General features: G+C 35.8%; 1 long non-coding RNA gene across 6 annotated transcripts in view; it reads right to left on the reverse strand.

Annotated features, from left to right (window-relative positions):
- LOC102724785 (uncharacterized) overlaps positions 1–21,139 on the reverse strand; it is a 31,284-nt gene extending 10,145 nt beyond the window's left edge. For 3 of the 6 annotated variants that reach the window (XR_427618.3, XR_939394.2, XR_001741525.1), the window contains exons 1-3: positions 21,017–21,139; positions 16,091–16,168; positions 7,216–7,273 (exon numbers count right to left, since the gene is read on the reverse strand). This is a non-coding gene — a long non-coding RNA (uncharacterized LOC102724785). Of the gene's footprint in view, positions 1–4,224; positions 4,255–6,035; positions 6,108–7,215; positions 7,274–16,090; positions 16,169–21,016 lie in introns of those variants that run through there. The other 3 variants (XR_939392.2, XR_939391.2, XR_939396.2) reach the window with 2 other exon arrangements.
- Between the last annotated feature and the right edge of the window lie 3,283 nt (positions 21,140–24,422).

Consider the following 24,422-nt stretch of genomic DNA (forward strand, 5'->3'; position numbering starts at 1 on the left):
GTAAAAAAAAAAAAAATTATATTGAAGGAATAAAACCTAGTATTTGGTAGTAAAATAGGACTACTGTAGCTAACAATAACTTTTATTTCAAAATAACAAAAAGAGTAGAATTGGAACACTCCTAACACCAACAAATGATAAATGCTTGAGTTGATGGATATCCCAATTACTCTGATTTAGGCAGTGCACATTTTATGCTCGGATCAAAATTTCACAGCTACCCCATAAATTTGTGCAACTATTATGTATTTATAATAATTAAAAATAAAAAAAATTAAATAATAAAACTATAAAAAAGAGAAAAAGTGTAAAAACAAAAATAGACAAAATGAAAAGGAAAACAAACAGAAAACATGAACAAATATGGTAGAAATTAATTGAACCATATCAATATTAATCTGAAATATCAAGTCTAAATACACTAATGAAAAGACAAGATTGAGTATATCAAACAAGAAGACTCAACTATATGCCATCTATTAGAAACCCACTTTGAATATAAAGACACGTACACATTGAAAGTAAATGAGTAAAGGAAAATATACCTTGCTAGCACTAAAAAAGCAAAGTATCTGTTAATTTTAATATCGATGTTAAATTTAGAGCAGACTTCAGAGCAAGTAAAGTTATCAGAGATAAACAGAGACATTATATATTGATAATGGAGGTAATACACCAAGAAGATATAACAACCCTTAAAGTACATGTGTTTAACAAGAAAGTGTCAAAATAGATGAGACAAAAACCAAAAACTGACAGAGTTGCAAGAAAAAATAAATGAGTCCACTATTATAATTGGAGATCCCATTCAGAAATGAATAGATTCAGCAGTCAAAAACTCAGTAAGAACACAGTTGAACTCAATAACTGGAATTCAATAACTCATCCATCAACTGGAAATATGTGGCATCTATTGATTACTCCATTGAACAACAGCAGAATGCACATTCTTCTCAAGCTCACATGGAATATTCACCAGTTTAGATTGTATTATGTTATGTAAGTCACACCTTAATAAATTTAAAAGAATAAATCTATCCTATGTCTGCTCTCAGATCATGATGGAATCTATAATGGAAATCAATTTAGAAATCAACAGAAAGATGGCTGGAAAATTCTAAAATACTTAGAGATTAAACAACACACTTCTAATAACACATGAGTCAAAGAAGAAATCTTAAGAGAAACTAAAAAATAAGTTGAACTAAATGAAAATAATAATAAAACTCATCATAATTTGTGAGATGTAATGAAAGCAGTGCTTATGGGGAAATTTATGCCACTGAATGCATATATTAGAAATAATCATCTAAAATCAGTTATCTAATTTTTCCCCTTAGGAAACTAGAAAAGCAGAGCAAATTAAATACAAAGTAGGAAGAAGAGAAGAGTTAGTAAAAATTAGAGCAGAAATCAATGAAATTAAACAAGAAATCAATACAGAGTATCAACAAAACCCAAAAGCTGATTCTATAAAAAGACCAGTTAAGTCAATGAGCCTCTTGCCCCAGCAAGCCTAACTAAGCCAAAAAGAGAAACACAAATTACTAATATCAGAAATGAAAGAGGGGACATCACTACCTGCTTATGAACATTAAAAGGATAACAAAAGAACATTCTGAACAACTGTGTGCCCACAAATCTGATATCTCAGATAAAACAAACGAATTCCTTGAATGACATAATTTGCCAAAACTCACAAAAGAAAGAATAGAAAATATGAATTTGTTTGTATCTATTAAAGACATTGCATCAGTAATCAATAACCTTCCAAAACAGAAAGTACCAGGTCTAGATGGGTGCACTGGTGAATTCAACAAGACATTTAAGAAACAAATTATATCAATTCTCTACAGTCTCTTTCAGAAAACAGATGAAGAGGAAATATTGAATAACTCATTCTGTAAAATCAGCATTACCCTAATACCAAAACCTGCCAAAGACATTACAAGAAAGTAAAACTACAAACCAATCTTTTTTATTAATAGACACAGAAATCCTCAACAAAATATTATCAAATTAAAACCAACAATATAGAAAAAGAATTATACACCTTGACAAAGTGCAATTTATCCCAGTATGCAAAGCTCATTCAAATTTCAAACATCAATGTAAACCATCATATCAATGCACTAACTAGAAAAAAATCACATGATCTTATCAATAGGTTTCAAAAAAACCATTTGACAAAATTTCACATTTCATTCGTAATTAAAACTCTCACTGTACCAGAGATATATCAGAACTTTTTCAATTTGATAAAGAACACCTACAAAAATCTTACAGCTAATACCATATTTAATGCTGAGAAACTAGAAGCTTTTCCACTAAGATCAGGAACAAAGTGGCAAGGGTATCTCCTCTCATCATTCCTTTTTAACATAATATTGGAAGTCCTAGCTAGTGCAATAAGACAAGAAAAATAAATAAATAAATATATAGATTGGAATGGAAAAAATAAAACAGTATTTGTTTGAAGATGGCATGGTCATCTAACTAGAAAATCTGAAAGAATTTACAAAGAAAGCTTTTGAAACTAATAAGTTATCCTAACAAGGTTGCAGTATATAATGTTAACATAAGAAAGCCAATTGCTCTCTTACATACAACAATGAACAAGCGGGATTTGAAATTAGAAGCATAATAATATTTACTCAGCATCCCCCTCCAAAAATGGATTACTTAGATATAAATCTGACAAAATATGTTCAAGACCTATATGAGAAAAACTATAAAACTCTGATTCACGCCTGTAATCCCAGCACTTTGGGAGGCCGAGGCGGGTGGATCACGAGGTCAGGAGATTGAGACCATCCTGGCTAACACAGTGAAACCCCGGCTCTACTAAAAATACAAAAATTAGCTGGGCGTGTTGGTGGGTGCCTGTAGTCCCAGCCACTCAGGAGGCTGAGACAGAAGAATGGCGTGAACCCGGGAGGCGGAGCTTGCAGTGAGCCGAGATCACGTCACTGCACTGCAGCCTGGGCGACAGAGCGAGACTGTATCTCAAAAAAACAAAAACAAAAACAAAAACAAACTCTGATAAAAGATATCAAAGAAGAGCTAAATGGAGATATTTCATGTTCATAGATAGGAAGACTCAATATTGTCAAGATATCAGTTATTTCTAACATTATCTATAGGTTCAATGTAATCATAATCAAAATCCTGGCATGTTATTCTTTGAATATCAACAAACTGATTTTAAAGCGTATATAGAGAGTGAAAAGATTTAGCATAGTCAATGCAGTATTGAAAGAGAATAACTAAATTAAAAAACTGACAATTATAAACCTTCTATTAAAAAGGGAGATGCATAAGGAAACTTTTCAAGGTTACTTTGATAGTGGTGATGGTTTTATAGCTATATGCATACATTCAAACTCACACAATGTATGCAATGAATCAATTCATAATGCCAAACTCATTTAGATTTTATTATATTCACTACAGATGTACAGATTGTGAGTATTATACTTCAAAACATGGTTAAACACAGGCCTTATTATAAAGAAACAGTAATCAAGACAATGTGGTATTGGTGAAAAAATAGACTAATTGATCAACTAATTGCTGAATAGACTAACAATAGGAGCTCAGAAATAGACTGAAATAAATCCAGTCAACTGGTCTTTGACAAAGGAGCAAAGGCAATATTATGAAGCAATTAGTCTTCTCAATAAATGGTGCTTGAAAAACTGGACATCTATATACAAAGAAATCTACACACAGACATTAATCCTTCAAAAATATTAACTCAAAATGGATTATAGACATAAATGTAAAATGCAAAACTATACCTATGTGGTGTTCAGTAAGATGACTTTCTAGGTAAAACACCAAAGGCTCCATCCATTTAAATAAATAATTTAAAAACTGAACTTAATTAACAACTTCCGCTCTGTGAAAGACAATGTCAGGAGAAAAAGAAGACAATCTACAGACTGAGAGAAAATATATGCATAAGACACACCTGATAAAGAACTTTTATCCAAAATATGCAAAAACTCCTAAAACTCAGCAATAAGAAAATGAACAACCTAGTTTCAAAGCGAGTAAAAGACTTGAATGTCTGTTCACCCCATCAAAGACGGCAAATAAGCATTTGAAAAGATGTTTAACATTGTGTTATTAGGAAATTGCAAATTAAAACAAAAATAAGATTCTACTACATACATACCTGAACGGCCAAAATCCAAAACATCGATAATACCATATGCTGGTGAGGATGTAAAGAGACTCTCTCATTCAATGCTGGTGAGAATGCAAATAGTACAACCACTTCGAAAGACACTTTGATAGTTTCTTATAAAGCTAAACATACTTATACTATGTAATCTAGCAATTGTACTCCTTGGTATTTATCCAAATAAATTGAAAACTTTTGCCAACAGAAGTTCCTGCACAGGGATGTTTATAGTTGCTTTATTTATAGCTGCCAAAACTTGGAATCAACCAAGTTGTCCTCTAATAGGTGATTGGATAAATAAACTATGGTACAACCAGACAATGGAATATTGTTCAATACTAAAAAACATCGAAAAGTTTTTCTCTATGAAAATACATGGAGAAAACATAAATGCGTGTTACTAAGTGAAATATGCCCATCTGAAAAGGCTACTATATGCATACTGTATAATTCTAACTATATGACATTCCAGAAAATGCAAAACTATGGAGGCTAAAAATATCAGTGGTTGCTGGGGTATGGGGAGAAGGAGGGATGAATAGGCAGAGCACAAGTAATTTTAAGGCAGTGAAACTATTCTGTATGATATTATGACAGCAGATATTTGTCAATAAGCATTTGTCAATACCCATAGAATGTACAATATCATGATTGAATGCTAATGTAAACTAGGTAATTTAGGTGATAATGATGTCTCAGTGCAACTTCACAGAGTGTAACAAATGTACGACTATGGTGGAAGTTGTTGACAGTGGAAGAAGTTGTGCATGTGTGGGGACAGGGTGTATGTGGGAAATCTCTGTACTTCTGCTCAATTTTGCTGTGAATCTACAACTTCTCTAAAAATAAAGTTTTTATTAAAAGTTAAAAACAACATCAATATTATATAGTGCTGAATAAACACAAAAGTAAAACTGGAGAAATCTGAATAAGATGACCAGTTTGTATCAATGTCAGTATTGTAGTTGCAGAATTACACTACAGTTTTGCAAAATGTTATCAGTAGGGGAAACTGAGTGAAGTGTAGAGGAGAATCTATATTGACTTTTACAACTGCATCTGAATATACATCTATCTGAATGCAAAGTTCAATTTAAAAAATAAGGTTATGTCTGCTACCGGAGTAGGTAGCCAGATCGAGAGTTTTATTCTAAAAATACAATGAAGAAAATGTCATGAGAATCAATGAGGGTATCTACACTTCTTGAATGCTCACTACTTAATTGAGTAGTGGAGCAGAAAAAGAAAATGACTAGATTTGAAAACTGGATGGTAGGGAGAATCACAGCAGCCACAGCAGGGCTAAGAAACCCATGAAAAGCAAAAGCACTTGATATTTTAACATCAAGTTGGAAGTGATTTTTAAAAAATAGAAAGAAAAAAATGTGCTTAAAGTTTAGGAAAAGAGGTCAGGATTACAGATGTAGATTTGTACATCTATAAGTTCCATGCATTGAGATAATTCAAAACATGGCAGTGGTCAAGTTGCTTACAGAAAAAAAAAATGAAAGAAAAAGGCAAAAATTATCCTGTGACCAAAATATAGAAGAATGCCTATGTTTAGTTCTTAGGCAAGGCATACAGTGAACAAATAAATGAAATCAAGTAGAAAGGTAGAACATTTTTAAAAATGGATGATTACAGAGAATCAAATGCCAATCCAAATTTTGTATTGAATAACTGAGGAAGTTTTGAAATGTTGAAGTTGTTGCTGTCCTCCAAGAAAACAATCTTAGTTTAATTTATAGATCATGGTAAGGAAAGGAAGATAGTTGGTAAATCCAATGGCTCTAAGAAGTTTGGGGAACAAGATAGCCAACTGGCATACAATGCTGACTTCTTATACCTGGAAATCTTAAGCAATAGGAGAGTGATGGTTCCCAGAGGCTGGCTCATTAACAGAAACATTATTCATATCCTGTAGAGAGACAATGGTGATTGAATAATGATTGTATATGTGTGGGAAATGGTAAAAAAACAAAACAAAACAAAACCTGTAAAGGATGAAGGGAAAGGTTTCATGTTGGGCCTTTTTGTTTCCTTGTCATAGCCCTGTATATAATTTCGCTACTTAGGGCTAATTTGACTGTATCAAAAAAATCTGTTTAATTAAGGATGCCATAGACAAAAAATTAGAGATAGACTGGTTAAATATATTGAAACATCTAAAGTCAACAAGGGATGAACACATATATTATACATGGAACTCCTTTAAATTGATGAGAAAACTCATGTAAAACAGGTAAAGAAATAGACAATTCAAAGTAAGAAAAATCTCAAAGACCAATACATATACGTGCATATGCAACCTCAGTAATAGCCAGAAAAAAAAAAGAAAAAAGTAAATTACACAAAGAGATACAAGTTTACTTATCACTGACAACATTGGATAGCTGGATATTAGTAAATGTGTTAATTATATGGAAAACAAGAAACCTGGCTGGGCACGGTGGCTCACGCCTGTAATCCCAGCAATTTGGGAGGCCATACAGGTGGATCACTTGAGGTCAGGGGTTCAAGACCAACCTGACCAACATGGCAAAACCCCGTCTTCTACTAAAGATACAAAAAAAGTAGCCAGGCGTGGTGGTGCACTTCTGTAATCCCAGCTAGTGGGGACGTTGAGGCAGGAGAATTGCTTGAATCCAGGAGGTGGAGGTTGCAGTGAGCTAAGATCGCACCACTGCACTCCAGGTTGAGTGACAGAGCAAGACTTCATCTCAAAAAAAAGAAAAAAAAAGAAACCCTCAAGCAATGATGGAATATATACTGATGTAATCATTCCAGAAAGCATTACAATTAAGTTATCATTTCTCCTTTGATTCAGCAATTTCCCTATTGGACTAAACTTGCTAGGGAACCTAACCGATATTTACAGTGACCACTAACAGGATGGTCACTGTAGCTTGTGCATAGTAGCAAAGCACTGAAAATAACTTGGGTACTATTGTTTATATATAAATTAAGTTACCTGCACAAGAAGGAATTCTATGCAGTGGAGGAAGTGAATTGGTTTATATACTTACCCAAGATGTGGTAGATCAAAAGCTGATGAGAGGATAGATGAATGCCCAGAACATAACACTTAGGGGAAAAAAAGTGTAAGCAACATAAGATTAATAACCCTAAATTATTTGTAAGAATTTCAAAGATAGAAATATACACAAAATAGTACATTTGTCAAGGATTTATATATTTTTATATATAGAATTATGAAAGAAGAGTTGAAAGAACATATTCTACAAGAAAACATACAGAAAAAAATTAAACAGAAACACCTTGCAGTGGAAATGAAAATTCTATGCTGGAAGATGGCCAACTAGAAGCAGTTAGTGTGTGCCACTCTCATGGAAAGAAATAGAAGGGGAAAGTAACCTTTAACTGAAACACCTAGGTACATGCATTGGGATTCATTAAGAAAAGAACTTGACCTGCAGAGGATGGAACAAGGCAAGGTAGGATGACCGCCCACTCGGAGTCGCATGGAGCCAGAGGAGCCTCCCCACCCAGGGAAGCAGTGAGTAAGTGAGCAACCCTGGGGATCCATGCTTCTCCCATGGATCTTTGCAACTCTTGGGTCAGGAGATTCCCTCATAAACCCAGTCCACCAAGGCCTTCATTCTAACAGGCCAAGCTATGTGGAGTCTTGGCAGAGCAGCTGCTCAGGCACATGTGGAGCCCCAGAAGCTTTAGATACCCAGGGTTCCTGGCAAAAGTGGCTGCAACTCCAGCAAAATGGGAGGTAAGACCCCCATACATACCCCTAGAGAAGAGGCTGAATCTAGGGGACTGAGCAGCCACAGTCTGCAGGCCTTGCTTCCATGGCATCTTGCAGGATAAGACCCTGTGGCTTGGAACTCCAGCTAGCCATGAGTAGCAACATTACATTTCCCTGAGACACAGATCCCAGAGGGAGGGGCAGTCTGCCCACTTGGCTATTTTGCAGCTTTAGTCATTGATGCCTTCAGGTTCTGAGGAATTCAAGGTGTCTAGGAACTGGAGTGGTCCCCCAGCACAGCACAGTAGCTCTATGAAGAGGCAGCCAGACTGCTTTTTCATACAGACCCTGGAACCCATTTCTCTTCACTGAGTGGAATCCCACAACCAAGGTCTACAACCACCCCCACAGGTGTTTTCCAGCTAGCAGCAATTCCAAACCTACCTGGGATGGAGCTCCCAAAGGGAAGGGAGGGTCATCATCTTTTCTGTTTTGCAGCTTTAGCCACTGTCACCTTCAGGCTTTGGAGAGTCTAAGGTGACTGGGGGCTGGAGCAGACCCCCCAGCACAGCACGGCTGCTGTACGGAAAAGTGCCAGAGTGCTCTATAAAGTAGGTCCCTCATCCCCTTCCTTCCCACTGGGTGGGAGCTCCCTACCGAGGTTTCCAGCCACCACTGCCAGTGTGTTCAGGCTGGCAACAGATCTGTATCTCCCTGGGGTGGAGCTCCCAGATGGAGGGGCAGGCCACCATCTTTGCTGTTTTGCAGCCTTCACTGAAGATGCCTTCAGGTACTAGAAAATCTGAGGTAACTAGGGACTAGAGTGGATTGCCAGCATACTGCAGCAGCCCTGTGAAAAAGCAGCCTGACTGCTTGTTACATGGGTCCCTGATCCCATATCTCCTCCCTGGGTTGGTCTTCCCAACCTGGGTCTTCTGCCACCTCCACCTGGAACTATCAAGCCAGTAGCAACTCTGCAACTTCCTGGGACAGAGTACCCAGTAGGAGGAGCAGGTTGCCCTCTTTGCTTTCTCACAGCCCTTGCCCTTGCTGTCTCCAGGCTCTGGAGAGTACCCAGGATTATGGACTGGTCAAGACCCCCAGGACAGAGCACCCATTTCATAGAAAAGTAGCTGGACTGTTCTCCATGCATGCCCCCATCCTCACTTCTCCTCACTGAGCAGGGCTGCCTGACCTGAGACTTCAGCACAACCACGCTGCTGCTGCCTGACTACTTCGACAGCCTAGCAGTTGGAGCAATAGCCACATGCAGAGATGAGAAAGAACCAACGCAAGAACTCCAACAATTCAAAAGGCCAGTGTCCTGTATCCTCCAAATCACCACATTAGTTCTTTAACAAAGGTTCTTAACCAGACTGACTTGGCTAAAATGACAGAAATAGAATTCAGAATATGGATTGGAACGAAGATCAGTGAGATTCAGGAGAACAGCAAAAACCAATCCAAGGAAATTAAGAATCACAATAAAATGATACTGGAGCTGACAGATGAAATAGCTGTTAAAAAAGAAGAATTTCCCTGGTCCGATAGACCTGAAAAACACACTACAAGGATTTCACAATGCAATCACAAGTATTGACAGCAGAATAGACCAAGCTGAGGAAAAAATCTTGGAACTTGAAGCCTCGTTCTCTGAAATAAGACAGCCAAACAAAAATAAAGAATGAAAAGGAATGAACAAAACCTTGGAAAAACATGGGATTATGTAAGGAGTCCAAATTCATGAATCACTGGCATCTCAGAAAGGGAGAGGGAGAAAGCAAATAACTTGAAAAACATATTTCAGTATAGAGTCCGTGAAAAATTCCCCAACCATGCTAGAGTGGCTAAGAGTCAAACTCAGGAAATAGAGAGAACCCTTGCAAGATTCCACACAAGAAGATCATCCTCAAGGCACATAGTAATCAAGTTTTACAAGGTTGAAATGAAAGAAAGAATGTTAAAGACAGCTAGAGAGAAAGGGGAGGTCACCTACAAAGGGAATCCCATCAGGCTAACAGTGGGCATCTCAGTAGAAGCCCTACAAGCCAGAAGAGAATGGAGGCCTATATTCAATATTCTTAAAGAAAAAATCTTCAACCAAAAATTTCATATCTAGCCAAAATAAGCTTCCTAAGTGAAGGAGAAATAAGATCCTTTCCAGATAAGCAAATACTAAGGGAGTTTGTTATCATCAGACCTGCTTTACGAGAGATATTGAAAGGAGCACTAAGTATGGAAGGAAAGAAAGTTACCAACCACTACAAAAACACATGTAAGTACACAGAGCAGTGATACAATAAACAAACCTCACAAACAAGCTGGCATAATAACCAGCTAACACCACAGTGACAGGTTCAAATCCACACACATCAATACTATTCTTGAAAGTAAATGTGCTAAATGCCCCATTTAAAAGGCATTTAGTACAATACTAATCTGTGGCAAGCTGGATAAAAACAGCAAGACCCAATGGTATGCTATCTTCGAGAGTCCCATTTCACACACAATGACATCCATAGGCTCAAAATAAAGGGATGGAGGAAAATCTACCAAGAAAATAGAAATCAGAAAAAAGCAGGGGTTCCAATCCTAACTTCAGACAAAACAGACTTTAAACCAACAAAGATCAAAAAAGACAAAGAAGGGCATTACATAATGGTAAGGAGTTAAATTCAGTAAGAAGACTTAACTATCCTAAATATAGATACACCCAACACAAGAGCACTCAGATTCATAAAGTACGTTCTTAGAGACCTACCAACAGACTTCAACTCTCACACAATAATAGTGAGAGACTTCAATGCCCCACTGACTATATTAGTCAGAACACTGAGGCAGAAAATTAACAAAGATATTCAGGACCTGAACTCAACATTGAACCAAATGGGTCTGATAGATGTATACAGAACTATCCTCCCCCAAACAACACAATATGCATTATTCTTCCCATCACCATGTGGTACATATTCTAAAATCACCACACAATTAGATATAAAACAATTATCAGCAGATGCAAAAGAACAGAAGTCATACCAAACACATTCTCGCACCACAGCACAATAAAAACAGAAATCAAGACCGAAAAAAAATCACTCAACACAATGCAACTATGTGGAAATTAAACAACCTGCTCCTGAATGACTTTCGGGTAGATAATGAAATTAAGGCAGAAATCAAGAAGTTCTTTGAAACTAATCAGAACAAAGAGACAACATACCAGGATCTCGGGGACACAGCTAAGGCACTGTTTAGAAGGAAACTTATAGAACTACATGCCCACATCAAAAAGTTAGAAAGATTTCAAATTAACAACTTAATATCAAAACTAGAAGAACTGGAGAAGCAAGAACAATCCAATCCCAAAGCTGGCAGAGGCAAAAATTAACTAAAATCAGCACTGAACTGAAGGAAATCAAGACACCAAAAAACATTCAAAAGATCAATGAATCCAGGAATTGGCATTTTGAAAAAATTATTAAGATAGATTGCTAGCTAGAGTGATACGGAAGAGAAGAGAGAAGATCCAAATAAACACAATCAGTAATGACAAAGGGGATATTACCACTGAACCCACAGAAATACAAATAACTATCAGAGACTACTATGCACACCAACAAGAAAACCTAGAATAGATGGATAAATTCCTGGACACATATACCCTTCCAATACTCAGTCAAGAAGAATTTGATTCCCTGAACAGACCAATAATGAGATTTGAAATTGAATCACTAATAAATAGCCTACCAACCAAAAGAAGCCAAGAACCAGACAGATTCACAGTCAAATTCTACCAGATATACAAAGAAGAGCCTACTACAAAGTACCATTCCTTTTGAAACTATTCCCAAAAATTGAGGAGGAGGGACTTCTCCCCAACTTATTCTATGAGACTAGCCTCATCCTGATACCAAAACCTGGCAGAGACACAACAAAGAAAATTTCAGGCCTTTATGAACATTAATGTAAAAATCTTCAACAAAATACTGGCAAACCAAATTCAGCAGCAAATCAGAAAACTTATCCACCACGATCAAGTAGGCTTTATTTCTGGGTTATAAGGTTGGTTCAAAATAAGCAAATCAATAAATGTGATTCATCACATAAACAGAACTAAAGACAAAAACCACACAATCATCCCCATAGATGCAGAAACGACTTTCAATAAAATTCCACACCTCTTTATGTTAAAAAAAAAAAAACTCAATAAACTAGGCATTGAAGGGACGTGCCTTGAAATAATAAGAGCTATTTAAGACAAACCTACAGTCGGCATCAACTGAATGGGCAAAAGCTGGAAGCATTTCCTTTAAAAACTGGCACAAGACAAGGATGCCCTCTCTCATCACTCCTATTCAATATAGTTTTGGAAGTTCTGGCTGGAGTAATCAGGCAAACAGAAGAAATAAAGGGCATCCAAATAGAGAGAGAAGTCAAACTATCCCTGTTTGCAGATGACATGATTCTATATCTAGAAAACCCCATAGTCGTGGCTCAAAAGCTCCTTAAACTGATAAACAACTTTAGCAAAGTTATAGGATACAAAATCACCATAGAAAAATCAGCATTCTTATACCCCAACAACAGCCAAGCTGAGAGCCAAATCAGGAACACAATCCCATTCACAGCTACCACACACACACACAAAAAAAATATCTAGGAATACAACGAATCGGGTGAAAGATCTCTACAATGAGAATTAAAATACACTGCTTAAAGAAGTCAGAGATGACACAAACAAATGGAAAAATATTCCATGTACATGATAGGAAGAATCAATATCTTTAAAATGGCCATAGTGCCCAATGCAATTTAGAGATTCACTGCTATTCCTATCAAACTACCAATGACATTCTTCACAAAATTAGAAAAAAAAATCTATTTTAAAATTTATATGGAACCAAAAAAGAGCCCAAATAGCCAAGGCAATCCTGAGCAAAATGAACAAAGCTGGAGGCATTATGTTACCTGACTTCAAACTATTCTACAGGGCTACAGTAACCAAAACAGCATGGTACTGGTACAAAAACATACACATAGACCAGTGGAACAGAACAGAGAGCCCAGAAATAATGCCACACACCTACAACCATCTGACCTTTGACAAAGCTGAAAAAACCAAGCAATGGGGAAAGGACTCCTATTTAATTAATGGTGCTGGGATAACTGGCTAGCCATATGCAGAAGATTGAAACTGGATCCCTTGCTTACACCATATATAAAAATCAACTCAAGATGGATTAAAGACTTAAATGTAAAAACCAAAATTATAAAAACCCTGGAAGACAACCTAGGTAATACCATTCTGAAGATAGGAACTGGCAAATATTTCATTATGAAAATGCCCAAAGTAATTGCATCAAAAGCAAAAATTGACAAATGGTGTCTAATTAAACTAAAGAGCTTCTACAGAGCAAAATAAACTATCAACAGAGTAAACGACAACCTACAGAATGGGAGAAAAATTTTGCAAATTATGTAGACAAAAGTCTAATATCTAGCCTCTATAAAGAACTTAAACAAATTTATAAGAAAAAAACCCATTAAAAAGTGGATAAAGGGCATGAATGGACACTCTTAAAAAGAAGATGTACATGTAGCCAACAAGGATATGGAAAAAAACTCCATATCACAGATCAATAGAGAAATGCAAATCAAAACCAACATGAGATACCATCTCAAACCAGAGTGGCTATTACTAAAAAGTCAAAAAATAACAGATGCTTGTAAGGTTGTGAAGAAGAGGAACACTTACATATGGTTGGTGGAAGTGTAAGTTAGTTCAACCACTGTGGAAAGCAGTGAGGCAGTTCCTCAAAGAGCTAAAAACAGAACTATCATTCAACCCAGCAATCCCATTACTTGGTGTATACCCAAAGTGATATAAATTATTCTACCATAAATACACATGCTTGTGTATGTTCATTGTAGCACTGTTCACAATATCAAAGTCATAGAATCAACTTAAATGCCCATTGATGGTAGACTGGATAAAGAAAATGTGGTACATAAACACCATGGAATACTATGCAGCCATTAAAAGAATAAGTTAATGTCCTTTGCTGGAACATGGATGGAGCTGGAGGCCATTATCCTAAACAAACTAATGCAAGAACAGAAAAACAAATACCGTGTGTTCTCACTTCTAAGTGGGAGCCAAATGATGAGAACACATGGACACAGAGAGGAACAACAGATACTGGGGCCTACTTGAAGATGGAGGGTGGGAGGAGGGAGAGGAAGAGAAAAAAACAACTGTTAGGTACTAGGATTAGTACGTGGGTGACTAAATAATCTGTACAACAACCCCCATGAGTTTACCTGTGTAACAAACCTATACATGTATTCCTGAACCTAAAATAAAAGTTAAAAAAAGAAAAAAAAATCTACACTAGAACTTCAATTCTGAGCACTTGAGATCCTTAAAAACAAAAAGGAAATAAACAAGCAAGTGTGTTTTTTGGAAATGTCAGCAGGTTTAGTGGTAGTACAATTTAATCAAGATAGTGAGAAGGAGAGACTTGAGATTGTTTCTAATTCACAAGGAAGGAACAAGGAGAAAAGGAGAGTTGAAGTACAAAGAAAACAGGGTGCTTATTTTGGAACAGTATTCTGAAGGAAGGTAGAAGGAAATGGGATTTGGAGATTCAGGTTAAATGAATATCTTTGGTAAGTAGAAAGATCCCATTTTCTTCAGCAGGAGCGAAGGAATAGAGAAGGAATGAACAGACAGAGATATTTTAAGGCAAATGTGGGGTGGTGAGAGCAGCTTTCTTTCTCTTCTTTTTTTTTTTTTAGTGTATTTCTCAATTTAGCACAGAAATGTATAGTCTTGTCTTATTTTCAAAATCATCACATGTGTATTATTCTTGGATCCTTAACTATATTGAGAGCACCTTACATTTCCTCAGAGATTATGAGAAAAATGAATTTTAGATCAAGAAGGGTCTTAAGAAGCATGTAATTAGCATTGATTATACCTGTATTATGTGATAAGCACTGTTTAAAGGGTGTACAGGCATTTCTCTAGACAAATCCTTCTTTTCCTTTTTTTTCCCCCAACGGATGATTAAATGAAGATCCAAAGAGGCTACCTGGAGGAAGTCACACACAGTAGCTAATGACAGTGTTGGGGATAAGAATCCAGATGTCTTCATTTCCAGGTCTTGGCCTGTTTTCCTCTACCTAAATCCTGCTGCGGATCAGCAGCTTCCAGTGCTGGATGATAAGTAAGCTGAAAGCATGTTCCCTGAGTGAGGATTAACAATAGGCATGTGGCCTCATTTTAAAAATCTTCAACTCACAGGCCTTGTCACAGGTTTGTACCCCAGGCTCTTCTTTTTTCTTTTTGAAAGCTTCAGTCATACAGAGAAGGATAATAAAGCCAATACTCCTCTTGCCGAGGTTTTATGAGTTTCTGTGCTGAAGACAGCATGCCAGAAGCTATTTTGGGCTATACAGTTTAAAATAATGAGAAAACCAACACCAGCAGCTGGGTGAACTGAGCACAATGCAAACAAGTAGCACTGAGCACACACGCACAGTGGGGACCCGCTCCACGGGTTTATAGCTTTTGGGAGCTGCTGCTGCAGTTCTTTTTTCCTGAGAGAACACTGACTACATTGGCGCTTTGCTAGTCTGGAGGTATCCAGTCCCAGCTTTAATGAAAGGCCTCACTGCCAGTAGTTCAGCCAAGAAGGGAACTCCCACTCCTGGGCATCATTTTGCACTGAATGGGTATTAAGCAGTTAATTATGAAACACTGCTTCTATATGGTTGCTATGGAAATCCGTGGGAAGGAAACATTAAATACTGTAGGAAATAATTCGAGAATAATGAGCTGAGAGGGACAGACCATCACCATCTCAATTATTTCCAGAGGGACAGACCATCACCATCTCAATTATTTCCATCATCACATTGTCAGGTGGAAAAAGTAAAAATCTATGGAAATTCTATGCACATTAATTTTCCTTTGTTGGAATTTGAATATTTCTAAAAAGCATAATTCATTCATATGAGGCTTCCACATTTTTTAAAAGAGTATTGGATAAAAATAGCAATAGCAAGGTAGCTAACACTCCAGATTAACTAATTATACTCCCCCCAAAGCAATGAATGTAAATATTTGGTTTACATCTTTAACAATTCAAGAATATACACACTCATAGTTTTCTACTTACATTTTTATTTTTTTCAGAAAATCCTCATTAAAATCCTCATAAATTCCAAAACGTTCATGCGTCAAAGAAGCCGTAATCCTTCAAAATGAAGAAAAGGATTAAGAGAAATAAGTCATTCTGTGACAAAAATAAGCTCTTAAGCTCACGTGTCAGTTTTAACAAAGTTTCATAGCTTGTTGCATTAGCTTCTGTCTTTGGTTATATCATGTCAAGTCAGGGCATGCCATTTGACCCATTAGTTGAAAAGAAATACTTATAAATTTTCTTTGGTCATCAAAGCTGGCAGAAGTGGAATTTAGAATGATGATATTTCCATCGTTCCTGAGCTCAATTGAGCACAATATGGGTCTTGAGTAATAGAGAACAACGGGGCTATAGTCGAAACGCACAGTTAAGCAAGAGTTTTCTGTGAGGTGGTTATGATGCGTGAGTACCAGAGTATTAATTGTCAAATAAAATTTTCAGTAATTCAAAACATAGCTGTCATACAGATATAAAATGAAGATGTGTCAAATAAAATAGAACTCATGAACAAATAAACAGTAAGATGCTAACGCTGGTTAAAAAACCATTGAGTATAGGCATTTGAGAAAAACAAGCATTAGACTATGATCTCTAGGTTAGATTTTTTTTAAAACTTTAGTGTTCTACAGGGTAATAATGAAACCATTACTTTTAAGGTATTTTTCCAATGAACAGAAATACACAAATTAACATACAACTTCACAGTGTCTAGGCCTGAATTAAAAAAAACATATGAATGACATTCACAGGTAAATTACTCTAAATAGTCCTGAGATTTGGAAATGATACACTGTGCTCTTTTTATTTAGAAGTTTTGGATATGTTTTCTTAACAGTTCCTCTATTTTGATAATAAACAACCTCTAAAAATTTTTCTTGATTTCAAAAGAGTCTGGCTCCATTATGTTTGGCCTGACATTTTACACATGTGCAGAAAACATGGTGAATTAATTATACAAGACTCCCTGAGTTTGGAGCACAGAACAAATACTGAAGCTAAAAAATTAACATTTGTGTGGAAATTTCATTTTGGAAATTAAGATTGGGTCTTTTAAATGCCTCTATTATTTGTTCTTCTATCTCAAACCTGAGTGACACACTGTAGAAAGATATTATTGCTAATAAAAAGAATGAAGAATTATCTTTCAATTGGATTAAGCCCTAGTGTTACATTTTCACAATCCTAAAGTTTGTAGAAATAATGATGTATTCTGATCAATAAACCAGTGTCAGAAATTCAAGCAGCTCAGTTTAAACAGAATTACCATTTGTCCTAAGAATCTAATTATTGGGTATGTAACCAAAGGAATATAAATCATTCTACCATAAAGACACATGCACCCATGTGTTCATCACAGCACTATTCGCAATAGCAAAGACATGGAATCAACCTAAATGTCCATCAATGGTAGAGTGGATAAATAAAACGCAGGACATACACAGCGTGGAATACTACACAGACATAAAAAAGAATGAGGTCATGTCCTTTGGAGCAACATGGATGGAGCTAGAGGCCATTATCCTAAGCAAACTAACACAGAAACAGAAAACCAAATATCACATGTTCTCACTTATATGTGGGAGCTAAACAATAAGAACACATGGACACAAAGAGGGGAACAACAAACACTGAGGATTACTTGAAAGTGGAGGGTGGGAGAAGTGGGAGGATCTCCCTTAGTACCCATAGTACCTATTGGGTACTATGCTTATTACCTGAGTAAGGAAATAATCAGTACACCAGACCCCCTAGACATACAGTTTACCTGTATAGCAAACCTACGATTTTACCCCTGAACATAAATAAAAGTTAAAAACAAAAAAAAAAATCTTCCTATCTAAAAATTAAAAAGAAACTTAAGCAGTCTGATTAATTGGCCTCTTCAAAAAATAAAAAACACAAACCCTATTAAAAAATAAAAGGTATGCCTGTTTTATAGCACAAACTAATACTAATAAAGTCACGAAAATTATATACAGCTCTTTATTCACTTTTTAAATCAAAATTATTATGCCAGTCTATTTTGTTCAAAGATTCACCTTAAGTTTATGAATTTGAATTTTTAAGTGAAAATGTTTCTAGATAGTGGTTTCATGAGGATTGTTTTTTCTCAAATGGCTAGCAGATTTAAAGTATTAAAAGTTTGGTTTCATTATTTTCTGAGAATGTTAGATGTATAATATATGTGATTAATTTGAGAGTTTTTATTATCTAGTGTAATAATATCCCCCAGAGGAAAGAAAATATTTTAAATTCACACAAAGAGAGGAAAAGGCTTTTCTCAGTTGCAGACACATCACTTTCTGCTTCAATTCAGCAGGCTCAGCTCCTGGTGAAGGATAACAATGAAGCACAAATCCACGTTTCAAAAGTCTATTCTACTTTTGATTGTTCAAAAGAAAATTTTGCAGTTGATTTGAACTCACACATAGCAAAATGAACAAACAAAAGAAGGCTAACAAACCAGATTTTATGTTGTCTCTGACCTGATAGGATAGATTTCTAGCATCCTGGTGGACATTCTTAATTACAGACATATAAACCCACTCACATATACACACAGGGTGTTCCCTGAACTATGCAATGGTGGCTAATGCTCTACCAGTTTTTGCTTCTGGCTGGGGAGAGAGAACTCAAACCATTAGTTAAATAATGCACAGACAGAGCAACAGCCGTGGCTAAGAAATATAAACAAAGACAGAAAATTAAGAGGCAAAAAGATAAAGTTCTAGTACCACTTGAGATCCTGAGAATCATGAAAACATAGGTTTCAGCTGGAAAAATGACGAATTGCATTTTTCTGACAATGCAGATGATTATCTATGGCAGATGCATCCACTTGGGCATCTTGTAAATAACCTCTAAAAATGTCCACGTTTAATTTTAGAACATAAAAATATGATTCTCATGTAAATATTGAGTACATATATATCAGGGATTTTATGCAACTGATTAATTAATGCAGATGTCAGGAAAAAAGGAGTTTTTAAAGTTTAAACAATCATTTTGGGGAGCTGGCTATTTCTAGGCAGCAATGCTCTTGTGTGGTAGTCTTTTGATTTTAAAGTTTTGGGTATTTCCTAGGGTATTTAAAAGAAACTCAGTTTATATATTTTGAGATAGTATTTGGAGAGCTATATTATGGTTTAAAATAAAAATAACATGCTTGAAAATAAATATAGTTTATATTTAGTTAATAAACATAAGAGTTAAATAAAATGTATTTTAAAGATGCATTTAAAAAACTGACTATAATATGGCCTTCAAGTAAATTCATAAAGAAAAAAACTAAAAAAAATCCCCTGACTAGAAGGAACTCAAACTTAAGCATAATGTTCTTAGAGTAATGTGGACTGCTTGCTGATACTAGCTTTAAAAACCTATACCATTCCTATTTTTATTTTTTATTTTTATACTTTTAGAGATAGGGTCTTGCTCTGTTACCCAGGCTGGAGTGCAGTGGCATGATCATAGCTCATTCTAGCCTAAAACTTCTGGGCTTAAGCAATCCTCCTGCTTCAGCCTCCCAAGTAGCTGGGACTACAGGCACCCACCACCATGTCACACTTATTTTTATTTTTGTAGAGACAGGGCATTGCTATGTTGCCCAGGCTGGTCTCAAACTCCTGGCCTCAAGCAATCCTCCCACCTTGGCCTCCCAAAGTTATGTGATCACAGGCATGAGCCACTACTCCTGGCCCCATTCCTATTTTGATTGCATATTGAGACTTAAGGGCTGAATTCTTTAGCCTTAACTAAAAACAGAATATACATTTCTATTAACCAAAAAAGACAAATTATGTTTTCTATTTTTTTGTCTGATAGATTTAGTTTTTTCAAATACTCAATTCACATGAGTTATACACAATTTATTTTGGTGGCATAAATATTTGCACACCTTATGTACTGCCATTTTAAATTATACGAGTAATACTGTGATTAGTATAATATTAATTCATTTTAAATATTATCATAATATTGATGACTTTTTGCCATTACATATTGATTGTATGATCAACAGAGTCTGCACTTTAACAAGATTCTTGGATGACTCATATGCACATTAAATTCTGAAAAACACTCATGTAAGAAAAATAAGAATTCAGATTCTAATATTGTCCTTGCAATTCAGTAGCTTTGTAATCTTACAACCTGACATAAACTCTTTTTTCATCTATTAAACGGGACAGTAAAGCCTGCCTTTTAAGGCCGTTGTAAGTACTAAATAATTCTGTTACCTATAAATTTCTTGGTAAATTCAAGTCTCTATAAATGTTAGCCATCACAATAATATCATTTTAAAAAGTCAGACTAAAGTTTCCATTGAAAAATCTTAGATCTAAAGCAAGTAATTATAATATTCAGTCTTCTAATCTCTACTACATAAAACAGTTGAGTGGGCACATATATTTTATTTAGGGCAAATTTTCCATTTCTCAATTAATTGTCCCTAGATTAGTGCTTCCAAGTAGTAGTTCCTGATTCAGTAACATTTCAATCCCTGGGAATTTGTTAGAAATGCAAATTATCCAGTCCAGCCCTTACCTAATAATAAGAAACTGTAGGAAGAGGGCCCAGCAATCCGTGTTTAACAAGTTTCCTAGGTGATTCTGATACATACTAAAGTTTGAGAACTAGTGCTCTAGATCAACCTCCAGGAATATTTAACCCAATTAATTTTCTGAGATCATCTAGCGAACACTTTTGGAGCAGACATCCAATCCACGATTACCATGCATCTAAACGTTGCTTAATGCATCTCATTGGCATCAACTTCCATCCCTGGACCTGAGTGCACACCATTTCTCTATAATGGCTAGACTTCCTAATTCTAAACATTTGGCATTTTCAATGAAATGGATTACAGTGATAATTTTTCTAAGAGAAGAATTTTGTTTTTACCTTGCTGGCAACCTCAATAAAGCTGCTTCCATACTTCTTCCTGGAGGGCTTTTGGCTGCTGTGATCCTGTAGCCAGCTATAGGCACATAGTGTCCGGAACACCTAGAGGTATTTTTGCAGCTACAGAATCTTCTCTCTGTTAACTTTCCTGTCCTTGTTCTGTTTACGGCAATGTTCATCCTGACCTTCACAGTGCATCATGTTGCCAGGGGGACTTAGCAACAAAAGCAGCAGAGGAAGTGAAGGGATATATTTAAAAAATGTAGATCTAAACCTAATCTTTGTTTTCTTTTTGGTTAAAATGAATCCATAGATGTTAGTTATTGAAACTGCATGCTTTGTTAATCATAAGTCTGTCTAAAGTCCCTTGACTTAAAAATAAGAAATTATAGGTACTGAACCATATACCCTGTGATAAACGTGGTGAGATTGACTGTCTTGGTCCATTGAGGCTATGATAACAAAATACCACAAACTACATAGCTTATAAATAACCAATAATTTATTTCTCATGATGCTAGAAGCTAGAAAGTCCAAGATAAAGGACTGAGAGGTTGGATATCTGGTGAGGGTTTGTTTTATGATTCATAGAGGCTTTCTTCGTAATGTGTCTTCACAAGTGGCAAGAGGCAAGGTAGTTCTCTGGGGTCACTTTTATAAGGGCACAAATTCTGTTCATGAGGGCTCTGCCCTCATGACTAATCACCTCCCAAAAGCTCCACCTTCTATTACCTTCACATTAGTGATTACCTTTCAACATATGAATTTTAGGAGGATATAAGCACTCATATTATAGCACTGACTACGGAAATAAATTGCAGATTTAATGAGAATCTTCAGATGATAAACGAGATTGCATATTTGGACTCTATAAGTGTCAAGTAAGATATAGATTATCAGGGAATAGAAAGAATTGAATGATTATATGGTTAGTTATCCAGCTAGTTAATGAATTCATTCCCTTTGCAGAAGTGATTAAGGGAACAGTACTCATGAATTGGATTTTTTTCACTGAGAGATAATCCATTAGCTAAATAAAGAAACATCTATACCCTTAATAAGGACTTCAAAGACTTTCATAGTCTAGACTCAGGCTGCCTTGCTGACTTCCTTTCCTACTGTGCTTCGCCTCGCTCATTTTGCTGGTTTTTGAACATATTAAGCACACTCCTCAAGGCCTCTAGTTTGGAATGCTTTTTCCCCACTGTCTTATTCTATGTTATGTTGCTATGACAGAATACCATGGACTGGGTAATGTATAATGATCAGAAATTTATTTGGCTCACAGTTCTAGAGGCTGGGAAGTTTCAGAGCTTGGCTCTGGCATCCTGTAAGGGTCTTTGTACAGTGTAATCCCATGGGGGAAGGAGGAAGAACAAGGGAGGGCAAGAGTGCTCAAAAGCAAACCCGCTCCTGAAAGCTCTTTCCTAAAGGCATAGAGCCCTCTTTAAAGGCCTCACTTCTTAATCCTGTTATGTTGGCAATTAAATATGAACACGAAGTTTGCAGGGGACATTCAAACCATAGAATCCGCTTTGTACATGACTTATGCTCATACTATTCAGTTTTCTGTTCATATTATCTTGTGTTTTGTTTTCATTTCTTTTTCTTATTTTTCCCTTTGGCTCATAGGAGAATGTTTGGATTCCTGTCCCTACCTAATAGCACCCCTGGAATTATCTATTCCTCTTCTTTATTCATATTTATAGCACTAACACTATACAACACATTTTATTTCATTTGTGTCTTTCCTCTTCACTATGGTATATGCTTTAAGAGGGGCAGAAATTTGTTTTTTCTTCTTCATGGCTATAACATCAATATATAGAACAGAGCCTGATGCGTAGGTAGTTGGGTAACATTTGTTAAATAAATGAATGAATAAATAACTTAGTGTTTTTTCAGTTTTGCTTGTGATAAACAGGCTACTTACTGTCTTGTCAGGCAACCAAGTGCAATCTTCAACAATGCACTTTGTCCAAATCTTCTTCAAAAATTAAGTCAAAAATTTCTCTATGGGTAACTTTTCCCATTTGTACTATTTGATAAAGATAGTGCTTAACATCGACTGAGCTCATACTATGTTCTAAACTGTGAACAGTGTGCATCACACTTTTCAGTGTGAAAGAATAATCAGTGAAAAAATCCAATTAATGAATACTGTTCTCTTAATCAGTGTAATGAAGGGAATAAATTCACAATTTAATAATCAAACTCTATGAAATGCACCAAGTTTTTATGGAGCCCTAACAGAGAAAGAGCTCAGTAAATGTTAGCCATGCAGGAGGAATAAAAAAAAAAAATCCTAATTCTTCTTCCATAGGAAAGTCTTTCTAAATTTGGAGATAGTTGTCACAAAATGTTGCGTCTTCTCTCTTCTCTTTAAATGCCTTCAGCTTTTAGAATATTTTCTTCTTCTTTAGTTTTCATGGATGTTCTTCTGTTTGTGCTTCAGTTTATAAATAGCCTCTTTATAATGTATCCCAAGATGGGAAACAATATTCTAGCTACAATTTAGCCTAGTGTAGAGTTCAGGCAATATAAATACAATCTTACATTGTAGCAGGTTTCAATTTAATGTTAACAATTAATTTCAGTGAATGTGTTAGTCAAACAAAATCACATGTGTCTTCTCATTTCAAGTAGTCTTAAGCAAACTGACTCTCAATGTAGTTGAATGTAAATGGTGAAATGTAAAATATTCTACAATTATTTATGTAGTTTATTTTTCTTAAATTTTAATCAATTATTTAAGGCTTTTGAGAGCTTTTTAAATCTTGATTTAAATATCCAAAATGGTAACTATCCCTCCAACTATTCTATCATTAGTATGTGTTTAATTATGACAGATATTGTTGCTTGCTTATAAAACACCCAGTATCTCTTTTCTTCACCCTAGAAGAACTTAATTTTGTTTTCTTTTAGTTGGCCACATGCCCAGGCCTGAGATATAAATCATAATTGTCTAAACAAACCAAATCAAAGTCCTAATTTGGCATTGCATGGTCTAGGAGAGGCGTATGATTCTCTTCTGGCCAATGAGACATAAGAAGTTTTCTGGGTGCTTCTGTGCAAGTTTTTCTTTTCTGATAATGAATGGTATGGAAAACAGAAAGCCCTTTGGCCACATTCCTTTATTCCAGCATAAAACACTACTGTGTGAAGGCTTGTGGACCTTTAATAACCACAAAGATGTCCATTTACCGGTATTGAGACTGTTGAAGGAAAAAGACATAATTGAGCTAGGAGAAAAATGATCATCTATTGAACCAAGGCACGGTTAGTGTAAATTCTATTACATAAAGCTAAAAGCTACAAGTTTTGCCTTATTTAGGATGCTTATATGTCATTAAATAGGAAAAGATAAATAACAGAGTCTGAACTTCTTTCCACATTAAGCATGTCA

This window comes from Homo sapiens, chromosome 4 (assembly GCF_000001405.40).
Source record: "Homo sapiens chromosome 4, GRCh38.p14 Primary Assembly".
Classification (NCBI taxonomy): Eukaryota; Metazoa; Chordata; class Mammalia; order Primates; family Hominidae; genus Homo; species Homo sapiens.